Genomic DNA, 12,896 nt, shown 5'->3' with positions numbered 1-12,896 from the left:
GAGGTAATAACAGGAATTGGAGAGAGAAGGAAATGTATGTGCAAAGATCCAGAACCAGAGCAGGTGCCTATGGTCTGCCAGTCTATCAGAATGACTGAAGGCTAATAAAGAGCAAGGGTGACTATGGTGTGGTGAGTTCTGATCGGTAGGTGACCCTCTTATTGTTTTATTCTATCTTGGAACCATCATTTGATATTTTAGCATATTTTACTGAATTGATTTCTTTATAAATAATATTGGGAATTACCTATGAATCAACATACTCAGATGTGCAAAATTGAAATACTTTAATTGCTTAGAGGATTGAGGAAAGTTCTAGAGACAAGCAGATGTTCTTACTACTTAGAGCATCAGGGTGTCAAAGTGCTCAGTTACTACTTTTAAGAGCTCTGAACCACTGCATTAGAAGAGGTATCCTGTTATATCTGGGAGGAAAACAGTATTGTAGTCACTCAGAGTAAGACAGGAACATCCAAGAGGCCTGGCTGCTTCCTTATATGGCAGGTGGAAGTGTCACGTTTATGGCTTTCCCTGCAGTCCAGGGTGTGTGATCTGTGCCATGTAGGCCAGGCCAGGTCCAGACCAGTGCTCCCAGGAAGAAGTCTCTTGAGACGATTCATGCTTACCAAACCATAAAAGACAATGAATTCTCTAGGATGCCTGTTGATCTACTTAAAAATGAGAAATATATGTGCCAACAGACCAATCAATTATTATAGCATTGACTGGCTCATGCATTCTTTCCTCATAAGAAAATCTGTAGGGAGTTATAATCAAAAGTTTCTTTTACAAGCTTGAAATCAAAAAGAGGAAGTTGGATGATCTCAACAGCCAGTATCATCTAGCCATGATAGCTTATTGTAGCCATCTCCAATCTAGGGATCTATTTCACAAGGAACTCCCAATATACTGGTCAGAAGCTTTCCACTAACTAGTAACATAAATTAGCTGACTAATATCTTTTTTCCTAGACTCTATGATATCATCCTTATTATGTTGATACTTTCCTTTAGATATGTAAATACCTTGATTGTGCTGCGGTTTTCTTTCTGCCTTCAGACAAGTATATATTTCTGTTCATCTAGTAGGCACTGGGTACCTCTCTGTGCTAGGTACCAAGCTGAGCACTGGGGATAGAAACTCAAGGAGAGACTGAGACACCGTCACTGTGAACAAAATCTTTGTACAAAACAACGAAGGCTAAAGTAAAGAAGTAGATAAGAATATATAAGTTCAGAGGAAGAAGCACATTATTTTAAATTTTATTCAATTTTTCATTAATTTATTTTTATGCTTTGTTTTGAGAATAGTTTGCTGCTGTGGAATGTCTGAAAGTGGTGAATTACTTTTACTGCACGTCTGTCTTGAGTGGTTTGTCTCTTGGAAGGTAGTATTCTCCTTTCCTCTGGAGGGATCTTGGTGTGACTTGCTGGGTTCTTACTGCCTATGATGGATGTCCTGCAGAGACTGGCTGGAAGCCAGAGTGATGAGTGGTATTGAGCTGCCCTCATAATTACTTTTTTGGGTAATAGTTTAATTGAAGCTACTGAGAGGGTAACATACTAGTTCAGAATGTAGGGGCTGGGGTTGGACAGATCTGTGTTGAAATTATGACTCTGCCACATATTACATCTTAAGAAATCTAAAGGAAGTCTTTTAACTGCTCTAAGGGCTTGTTTCCTCAACAATATTCTGAAGCTAAAATATCTTTCATCAGGTTATTATGAAAATTAAATGAGATAAAGCATGTAAAATACCTATCACATTATCAGCACTTACAAACTGTTAGCTTTTAGTTAGAGGAATCTGAGTTGGAGTCTAGAGGAATATTTTTATTTGGTTTAAAATTTTATATTCTGATGTTATTTCTCCAAAAGACTAGTTAAGAAAATGTCAACACATCAACTCATGCTTATTTATTTTCTGTCTTTCTGTCCTGTGTTCCAAGAAGTCTCCTCTTTTTTGCTTGTGGAAAGGTTGATGGAGAAAAAGCCTAATTCCCAGACAAGTGCTGTTTGTTAGTACTTGTTGAGGTTTTACATAATTCATTAATGAGGGAGTTAGCTTTAAAAAGAGAGAGAGAGAGCTTGTTTCTAGAGTATCTGAAAAAGAGAAATTCACATAGTTAATTGGGAACAGATTACTAAGTTACATACAAAATTGGTTAATGCCCTGGAGGGTGGTAAAAATATAACTTTAGAGATATTTTTCCTACCAGGCCAAGAAAAAAATTACTTCATAATAGTTTTTTTACAATTTAGTCTTAAACTTTATAGAACTGTAAATTGTCTAGGTTATCAAACAAAAGTATGTCTCCTGAAAGAACTGTCATATTAGAAAATACTCCAGCACAACATTTTAAAGGAAAATAATCATCAATTTGCTTTAGTACCAAGTTTTTCATAATTTTCCTACCACAATAAATAACTATGTTCCAGTACATAATTTGTCTAACAACAATAATGAAGTGATTTTGCATTGTGAGGAGGAATTAGAAAGACTGTTTTTAAAAATTAGGGGGAAAATGCTAATAGGAAAAGAAGGAAGTAGGCTCATAGTGAAGAGGGAGGACTTGCCTTTGAAAGAGGATAGGAGAAGTGAGAACATAGGGGAAGAAGATGCTCAGATCATCCTGCAGGGTTGCCTCTGTGGCCTCCTTAGAATTCTTTTCCCTATTCTTAGAGCTATGACCCCTCATTCTCTGGGAAGGAGGAGAGGATGGCAAAATGTTGTCCAGGCTTTTCAGAGAAAAGTGATGGAATCCATGCTCTTTGAGACTCCCCCTCTAGGTCCAATGTTTGTTCTTCATGGGTTCAATGCTCCTTTCTTTGTGCTTCCTTAGCTGAACCTAACCTGTTCTCTCTTTCCATCCATAGTGGCGTAGATGTTTACTATGCAGTTACCTTCAATGGTGAGGCCATCAGCAATACCACCTGGGACCTCATTAGCCTTCACTCCAACAAGGTGGAAAACCATGGCCTTGTGGAACTGGATGATAAACCCACTGTTGTTTATACAATCAGTAACTTCAGAGATTATATTGCTGAGACATTGCAGCAGAATTTTTTGCTGGGGAACTCTTCCTTGAATCCAGATCCTGATTCCCTGCAGCTTATCAATGGTGAGTTTGATATCCATCATGAAGTCCTTGTATAGTTTCTTTTCCAGTATGCTCTGGTGTAAACTAATTTCCTGAAATATATAAGGTTCTGACCATTCTCTAGACTTTATGAGACAGGAGCCAACCTGATATGAATGGAGTTTTAGCCATGCAGCTATTTTGGATAGATTAATCCGGGGCTTTCTGGAATATTTGTAGACAAAAGGCCACAGAGTGTGGAAAGTGGCAGTTAGAAGTAGTTTAGAGAAATAGGAGCAAAGCATAAGAAAAAGGAAAGTAGTACTTGGAAGTGTGCATTGAAACAGGCTATAATACTTCCCTGACAACCGAGACATGACCTCTCTGAGGTAAGTCAGCTAGTAAAGGCTTAAAAATCAGAGTGTAGAGAAAAAGGAAGAGCTCAAGAAAGGTCATGGGAGATCTAGGTCAAAGAAGAAGTGATAATGGTTGCCATGCAGAATCTCAGATAATTCAATACTGACTTTAAATTCAGATTGCTGTGGAGATCCTGTTATGATCCATAATGAACAGGTGGATATGACAGATCATGAAGAAGAGGGTGTTTAACCTGGATTTGGAGGCTACAGGGTGCCCAGTCAACCTGGGACTTAAAACTTGCTAAGATTCTGGCTACCAGTATGCAGCATCTTAACTCATCAGGGCCACGGTATCCTGCTAACTCACTTGCTACTTTGCATTTGCTTCTATTCTCCATGATTTCTTTACTCATCGGTAACTTAGCTTTAAAATGTTCAGTGGAATATACGTTATGGAAGTGACAGCATGGGAGAAGTACCAGCTGCTGAGGAGGAAAATCTTCATGTGAGGCAATGCTAATGATGCATTTTTACAGCCTCTCTAGCTCCCACACATTTTAAAGAGGAAAGAGCCTCTGTCCTGTCCTTCCAGGCAGCTACTACCTAGTTCTCTGTGTGTGTGTGTAACAAATAAATAAACAAAAATAGAGAAGCCAGAGAGGCTTGTTGGATTTACATAGGAAGATCAGAAAATTAATAATGAAAGAGAATAGTAGATTTAAAAGGCAAGGTAGGGAAGAACATAGGAATCAAGATTTTTTTGAGTTGGGGCTTGGAAGGAGAATTTTTAGAGAGAGACAAAGAAAAGTCTTGTCTTTCCAGGCAGTTATATGTGTATGTGTGTGTGTGCACATATGTGCATGTGTGTGTGCATTTGTGTGTATGTGTGTGTGTGAGAGAGACAGAGAAAGTGAGAAAGGGAGAGAAAAAAACTTTTAAAAAGATTTTACTGTGTGTGATTTAATCTCTTATTTCCCAAATAAGATATTTTTTTCTTTCTTTCTTTCTTTCTTTCTTTCTTTCTTTCTTTCTTTCTTTCTTTCTTTCTTTCTTTCTTTCTTTCTTTTCTTTCTTTCTTTCTTTCTCTCTTTCTTTTTCTTTCTTTCTTTCTTTCCTTCTTTCTCTTTCTTTTCTTTTCTTTTCTTTTTTCTTTTTCTTGAGAGGCCAGACTAAAACTTTACATTGCTTTCAACTATTTTGGCTGCTGGACTAACGTTTTTTTTAATGTGACACTCTGCTGAGACAGGGTCACAAAGTGGTCTGGGCTTTATATGAATTACATAGGACTTTAAGATGGAGAAATGCTCTCTTCAGTGAATGAGAGTATTATAGAACTATTCATTCTTAAACATTAGGGAGGCTTTATATTTTGGAGCAGTTATCCTGGGCTCACTTCCTTATATACTTCTTTGTCATTGTTGAATCTCTGTTGGAATACTAGGGCTAGATAAAATAGTGAACAGATAAGAAGCTTGTTATAATCTGAAACTGCTGAAGTCCCTCTGGCAATGCTAATAGAGATTAGCCGGGGCTAACCATGGAGATGGCATATGGGCAGAAGATTCTAGGAATCAGGATATTGGGATCAGACAGAGAAAAGATATAGTTAGGAGATCATGACCTAAGGGAGTTAAGAACCTACATTGAGCAGAAGGTGCAAACACCAAGGTCAGTAACTGGAGTGGTAGGAGAATGGCGTGAAGATTAAGGTCTACAATAAACAAAGAGGTTGCTTAGGAAACTATATCCACAAACAGTATTGCAAGATCTTCCTTTTATGTGGAGCCTGTTGGTGGAGCTACTTTCATAAAGGTATCCTAAAAAGAGGTAAACAACTTTCTTAGAATTTGTAAGCAAGTTCAACAAAAGCTTTACAATATCTAGTACCAACTAATTCAAGTGTCTTGGGCTTTCATTAGACATATATTTCAATTACTCAGAATTTTGTCCCTAAAATTTATTGCTATTGTCAGGCCAACTTCAGAGTTCTGAATGGCGGCAGCTTTCTACGTAACTTGATCACTATCTCAAAAGATATGATCCTCCTTGTATTAGTCCATTCTCACACTGCTATAAATAACCTGAGGCTTGGTAATTTATGAAGGAAAGAGGTTTAATTGACTTACAGTTCCACAGGCTGTACAGGAAGCATGGCTGGAAGGCCTCAGGAAACTTAAAATCATGGCAGAAGGTGAAGAGGTGAAGGGGAAGCAAGCACGTCTTACCATGGTGGAGCAGGAGGGAGGTAGGGGAAGAGACTGAGAGAGAGAGAGAGTCAGAGAGAAAGAGACAGAGAGAGAGAGAGAGAAAGTGCCACACACTTTTAAACAACTAGATCTCTGAGGACTCACTTACTATCATGAGAACAGCAAGGAGGAAATCTGCCCCCATGATCCAATCACCTCCCACCAGGCCCCACCTTCAACGCTTGGGATCGCAATTCAACATGAGATTTGGGTGGAGACATAGAGCCAAACCACATCACTCCTTGATCTTGTGGAGCTTATTTTTCATAGAAGACAAGATAATTGTATACATAGTTTTTAAAAGTTTTGGAAAATACTTAAGCCAAATAGGGTTTTTGACTTTTGCTTGATATCTCTATGTGAGGCCAGTGGGAACAGGTGGATAAAGAGACTCTACTTCTGTTTTTGGTTGCATACACCAGATCACTCTCCTGGCAATCCCTTCTTTTTAGCTTTTATTGATTCCCTCTCCCCCGTGGGCAAAATCAGCTACTTCTTTGTCTGTATTACCATACATTGTATACATGCCCCTCATGTTGTTTTGTAATTTGTGTTTATTTCTCTGATATATGCAATGCTTCTAGAAGAGAAACTTGGCTTTATTGATGTTTATAGCCTCAACTTTGGCAAAGCCTGTGGTAACTAGCAAGGATTCATTAAATTTTTGTTGAAATAAATGATATAATCTACTCTCTATGTTGCTCTTTAATATCATTACAGTGACAAAGATTTTTGGTGTCCTAGCTCAGTTTTCAAAGGTACTTTCTTCCCAAAAGGCAATTATTTTTGCATGCTTTTCTACCATTCTTAGCATAAACCAAAGGAATTGAAATTTCAGTACAACTTTTTTACTTAAAAATTAATTTAAAAATAAGCGCTTCATAGGAATCTTGAACAGAATAAAAACTAACTTGAGAAAGGAAAGGAAGTAATAGAGGAGTGTCCTAAATGTGATAATGGGAAGAATCTTTATTTTATGTTAGATTCTTATAATTCAGGCAGATTGTGCTAATATAAATAAAATATCTGAATAAAGTAACAAACATTTTCTAAGTAAGTGTGTCCCGTATTTTCTGCCAAAATCTAAACAATGAAGAGAAAGAACTTGACTTTCAGTTGTCCCTGCACCTCAAATACAATAGGGCCTCATCTAAAAATGTTCTTTAATATTGTTCTTTCCTCAGTGAGAGGAGTTTTGCGTCACCAAACTGAAGATCTAGTTTGGAACACCCAAAGTTCAAGTCTTCAGGCAACGCCGTCATCTATTCTGGTATGTTTTTATGTTTTATGCTAGAACCAGGCCCTCAAGCTTCTCTTCTTTCTTCCTGCACCTGCTTACTTTGGCATTATAAATTTCCCAAGCTGTTCTCATTTCAATTATTCTCTTGCATCATCCCTAGACCATTACTCATAGCTGTCAGCTCATGGGTACCAAGTGTTGGTTCAGAAAATTTAAGCCTTCTGCAGTGATTAAATAAAGTCTGCATTGCCAAACTCCACACAGGGTAGAAACCTTATTTATGGTTCCTACTTGTTCAGTGATAATTAGGCTATTAAGTGCCCACTGATTGTTCTCTGAGAGTTACCCAGAAATAGATTTTATAGCCAACATGATAAATTGATGTACTAGGTATAGAGCGTAGATTTTTTGTTTCAAGGATTATAGTGAAAAAATGATTAAACTCCAAAACACATAGAACAGTGTGTGTATGGAAGGGAGAGAAAGAATATCATCCACTAGCTGACAGATGACAGGGATTCTAAATCAGGCCTCCTTGTAACCTGGACTGAAAACATTCCCGCTTGCATAGAAACAGCATGGGATGAACTTTCCTTTTTGTTCTTACCACCCAGATGCATCAGGAATTCCTCTTCCCCCTCTAAACCTCCACTTGCCACTTCACTTGTAGGGAGTTACATAGTAGAAAAGAAACAGCATAGTTTAAACAACAATGATAACATCTACAACTAAAAACCACTACAGAATTACTTGTCTACAATGAATACAGGAATCTTTTGTTATCATATACAAACAGTAGGGGGACTCCCTTGTCATCTACATTCCTTGCTTTTCTTCCCTCTTAAAATTTATTTTCTGTCTCATATCAGCTATTTGAATTACTTGTTTCTCGACTTTAATGGAGCGATGGAAATTCAGAAAGCCTGCCCTTAATTCATGTAACCATTAATCTCTGCAGCCATTTCTTCTACTAGGTTATAGAGCAACTCAATATTACAATGTAGAATTACTAAAAACAATCTTTTCACTGAGTTACATATTAGACAAAATAGGTTAGAAGAGATTTACAGAGAGTACATTCATTTGGTGTGTATTTATTCATTCACTTATTCATTCATTCAAATATGTTTGTTTTGTGCTTTCCATGTGCCAAGTGCTTGTGAAACTAAGACAAATAAGGTGTGGCTCTGCCTACACAAATTTCTAGTCTGGTGGTAGTAGACAGATTTCTAAACAAGGTGATGCAGATATTGTCCAAGAGGTCCATCCAGGGTCCAGTGGCAGGGAGTGATGACAGCGCCACTACTCTCTGCTTTTAATCACATTCTCTAACCACAGGAGGAGCTTTGTGATGATATTTTAGAATCATATTGTAAAGATGAGAATTTGTATATAAGCCAGAGGCTGCAAACTGGAGACTAGCTGGATCCAACTATAGACACGCAGCTTGGGACCAAATTTTAAAAAATAAGTCAATATTTTAAAACTAGGAGATTTTTACATAAAAATGTAGATTTCTGGCTTCTTTTGAACACCAGGAAGATCTGCTACTCTGAAGTTCATATTCCCTTGTGGCAGAAAGTGGCTGGAGCTTGTGGCTGCCGCTTAATGATGGCAAGCACCAATAGGGCTCACTTGTTCATTTACGTTGCAGTGCTTTCATTTGCATTGACGCCAACTCCTTTCTTTTTTGAATAGTGATTACTGTAGGACAATCATTAACAATTGAAGGAGACATCAGAACGTTAATGGGAGATAAGACATGAAAACAAGGAATGATTAATTAGAAATGTCTAGTTACTACTTTCTTTTTAATTTATTCCTTCCCTCCCTTTCTTCATGCCCTTGCCAATTGTTAGCAAGATTTTACTCTACCATAGAAGTGAGGTGGGTTTTTTCCCCCCAGATCTTATTTTTAAAAATTATTTTATATACAGAGCTGCCATAATTGTATTACTAGTCATTTTATTGTTTTTATTATTAGTAATAAAGGCTTTATTCAAAGAGTTAAAAAAAAAGTTATTTTAGAGCTAGGAATGTTGGGAAATTGAATTTGACACTTTTCTGGCACCCTGACTTGGAAAATCACTTGTACAGTGTGCTTTCTTTAGGACTAACAAACTTTTCAATTGGCGGTAGCAGAAATGAAACTGGCCAATATAATAAAGTTGTCAATATACTACATTGAACTAAAAGAATGCACAAGTTAAATTTGTTACTACGGGAACATCTATGGATAGAAAAATTAATGAAGGGCTATTCCTGGCATGTATGTGTTAACCTTTCAAAATGTATAGGAAAGCTTCATTGCCATGCCATTTTTTAGGGAATATTTATCCTGGAAGGGATGGTCTTTCTTCTTTATTTGAAAAGTCAAGTTGTTTACTTTCACATTTTATGTTGCCTGTTAGTGACTTGACTTTTTAAAAGATTTTATGTATTGTTTTACTTTTAATTTTTATGAAGTGAAAAGGCATTTTGTTTACAGATATACTGAAATGGTATATTACTGCTTGAGGATTTCTTTTTCATTGAGGATTCAGCTGCTTTCCTAATGTGTGCCAGGTTATGCGCTCTGTCTGATAAAACTCAATTTCTTAAGCATGGCTTGAAGGGCTTAAGCTATCTCACATGAATTTTTTTTAAGGTACATTTGGAATTTGCAAGAATATATGAGTAGCTTTAACACATCTCTGGAAGTAGTTTTAGACAATTAAAAGGAAAAAAGTTAATTCCCTCTTATGGTATGATCATCATCATTGTAACTACTTTATTGAAGAACAGAACTTGGTATTGAGCAAATGGCCTTCTTTCCCCTGACTACATATGTAGTTTTCAATCCTAGAAAAATAAAGGGGAAGGCTGGAAAGTTTTTTCTATGTAAATAGGCTCCATATTCCATAGAGCAGGTATTTGAATATTAGGAGATGGCCTCCCACACTCCCTATCTGTGTTGACCTGGGTCTTATAAACCTGTGGAATATGCTAACCCAAATGAGAGCATGGACTGCCAAGTCTGTTTGCTCTAGTTTCTCCTCTGAAAATCCTTTTATCACTTGGGAATATATACTTGTAGAGACCTCTGGATGAATAGCTGTTAGTGGGAAAAGCACTGGCACTGAGAAATCTAGAGACTTGGCTGCTTCCAGTCTGTTTTTTTCTCTTTTTTTGTGTGTCCTTGAGCATTTCACTTCTATGATCCTCAGTTCTCTAACAGGCATGGTTGTACTACATGTGTTCTTGAGTCCTTCTAAGTGTAAAATGTGATAATTTTGTTATGTTCACATACATGTGCATGCTCAGCCCCTCTTCCCAACGTAAGATTTTTCCAAGCCAAAGGATGGCCTCATAAAGCACATGAGCAAGACAAGAGCTGATGTTTTTACTTAACTTTTTGCCTTTCACTTTCTGGACTTTAATTTGTTGTCTTCCATTTCTCTGGAAATGAACTCTTGCTCTATCTCCTATGTTCTTGAGGACTCAGAATAACTTAGACCCTCTAGGCAGAAATATGAACCAGCTTTATGTCTATTTGGTGCTAAGTTATGTAGGAGCACTCTGCACACAGGTCAGCAATTGCAAGCCACCTCTACTGAATAGAGTTATGTAAGGTTAACAGTACTCCTGGTAATTCCATGGTGTTTTTTTGAGACAGCGTCTTGCTCTGTCACCTGGGCAGGAGTGCAGTGGTGTGATCATAGCTCACTGAAGCCTCAAACTCCTTGGGTTCAAGTGATCCTCCTGCCTCAGCCTCCAGAGTACTATAGGAATGCACTATAGGAGTGCACCAAGGCACCCAGCTATTTTTTTTTATTTTATGTTTTTCGTAGAGACAGAGTCTTACTCTGTTTCCCAGACTTGCGTGCTCCTAAAGTTTACTAGAAAAGTGCGAGAAGTCATCTCTCCAATTAGATCTTTTTTTTTTTTTTTTGACATGAATCATGAAACATGTCATATTATCCTCAGGGTCACTTCTGTTAGGGGATTCCCCAGGAGGGAATTTTGTGTCCTCAGATCATTTGATGATGGCCTCTGGCTTCCTCTTTCTTTACAGATGTCTTGCTTTTTCTCTCATACATTTCATGTCAACAGATTCAGAAGATTTGGTTATTAGACTCCAGTCTAATTCCTAGATATATCTTGCTTCTATTTCTTTTTTTTTTAACCAAAGCTACATTGCCAAAAATGTTTGCTAACATTGCATCATATACTTTTTATCACTTTTCTTTTCCCTTTCCAGATTTTTATTTTCTGGCTAAATTTACATTTAGCCAGAATGATATCATTTTTGGTTCATGTTGTTGTTTTAAGTGATTCTCATTCCTTATTTGCTGGGCATTTATATTTCATTTTGGATTGTCTAATCACTTTTTGACAGAAATGACTTAAACTTTAATGGATTTTTAAATGCACTGTATTATAAAATGATGGCACATTTGCATAATATCACTCATCCAGGGTCTCAACAGTAACAGAATCATCTAGAAGAATCTACCAATGGAGATGTGGATAGGGTTAAAGGAGCAAAAAAAGAATGTTGAGGTATGCAGAGACTAACAACAGTGGGAAGCAATTGCCACTACCATCCATTGGATTACAGAGGAAGGAGAGGAAATGCTGTTACTAGAGCCCACTGACAGCTGGAGCTGTAATTGTGGAGGGAGAAGCACAGCTATGCTAGACACAGAGTATTGAGGCTTGGCGGAAGCAGGGAAGAAATACCCTGACCTCTCCTTCCTCTTGTCGTTTGATCTGCTTATGTTTCCCATTGGCCAAACTCAAACAGAAAACAAATGCAAGGGAGCAGGGGTGGTGCAGATCACAGGGGTCAGCCTCCTAGGGCAGAGGGCAGGAAGAGAAGGATCTGAAGTGGTGGTGACAAATACAGAATAATCAGCATGGTGACCCACTTAAAATAGGAACCAATGAAAACAACATGGACAAGGCAGGAAATGATGTTGTAATTGAGTTCCACAAAAGAAAATAAGATTGTTAGACAGAGTGCTTTTAGTTTTAAGATGGTAGATGAAACTGTGGGTAACACTCTATAGAGCCAATGACTTTCTGTTATTACCATCTTTCCTGTGCATTTGTCACTAGGGGAAGGGACAAAGTAGGACATGCCTGGTGGTTTCTTGCCTCATGGTCCCTCCTCTGTGATTGGGAGAGTGTGTAGTTCAAAGCCTTCTCACACAGATCTTTGACAGAGAGACAAGGGGCACTGTGAAGACAAAGCATAAAAGACTAATTAGGCCTTGTGTATTAATCTGTTTTCACGCTGCTGATAAAGACATACCTGAGACTGGGCAATTTACAAAAGAAAGAGGTTTAATGGACTTACAGTTCCATGTGGCTCAGGAGGCCTCACAATTATGGCACAAGGTGAAAGGCACGTGTCACATGGTGTTAGACAAGAGATGAGCTCTTGTGCAGGGAAACTCCCCTTTATAAAACCATCATATCTCATGAGACTTATTCACTATCACGAGAACAGCAACGGAAAGACCTGCCCCCATGATTCAATCCCCTCCCACCAGGTCCCTCCCACAACACGTGGAAATTCAAGATGAGATTTGGGTGGGGACACAGTCAAACCATATCACCTTGTTTTGGGTTAGCTCTCTTCATGGGCCAGTATGTTCTGTTTTATTTCACGGCCATAGACTAAACTCTAGTTAGCCACCCTAAAATTGTGTGCTTTTGTTCAAAAAGCATGTTAGACTAGAGACTGTCAGTGCAAATTTAATATTGCTGATAGAAGTCTCCTGGAGGAGGGGGAGGAGGTTCGATTCAGCATTTCTTATTTGCGGTTTTCATTTTGTTCATAGCTATAGCATGAATTCAAGTCTTTTGATAGACTTATAAATATGGGAAATTTCTTAAAGGTTCCAGTTGATAAGAAATAAAATCATTCAGCAATTGAAGAAGTACATTAGAAACACAGGCTGGAATATTATGCCCAGAACATGATC

The 12,896-nt window shown here is 37.8% G+C and overlaps 1 protein-coding gene across 1 annotated transcript in view; it reads left to right on the top strand.

Moving 5' to 3' along the window:
• IMPG2 (interphotoreceptor matrix proteoglycan 2) overlaps positions 1-12,896 on the top strand; it is a 98,030-nt gene that overhangs the window by 59,926 nt on the left and 25,208 nt on the right. Inside the window, exons 10-11 of the mRNA NM_016247.4 lie at positions 2,877-3,121; positions 6,869-6,954. Of these exons, the coding sequence (NP_057331.2) occupies positions 2,877-3,121; positions 6,869-6,954 (331 nt within the window). The remainder of the gene's footprint in view (positions 1-2,876; positions 3,122-6,868; positions 6,955-12,896) is intronic.

Source organism: Homo sapiens, chromosome 3, assembly GCF_000001405.40.
Source record: "Homo sapiens chromosome 3, GRCh38.p14 Primary Assembly".
Classification (NCBI taxonomy): Eukaryota; Metazoa; Chordata; class Mammalia; order Primates; family Hominidae; genus Homo; species Homo sapiens.
This window is presented reverse-complemented; position numbering and strand designations above follow the sequence as displayed.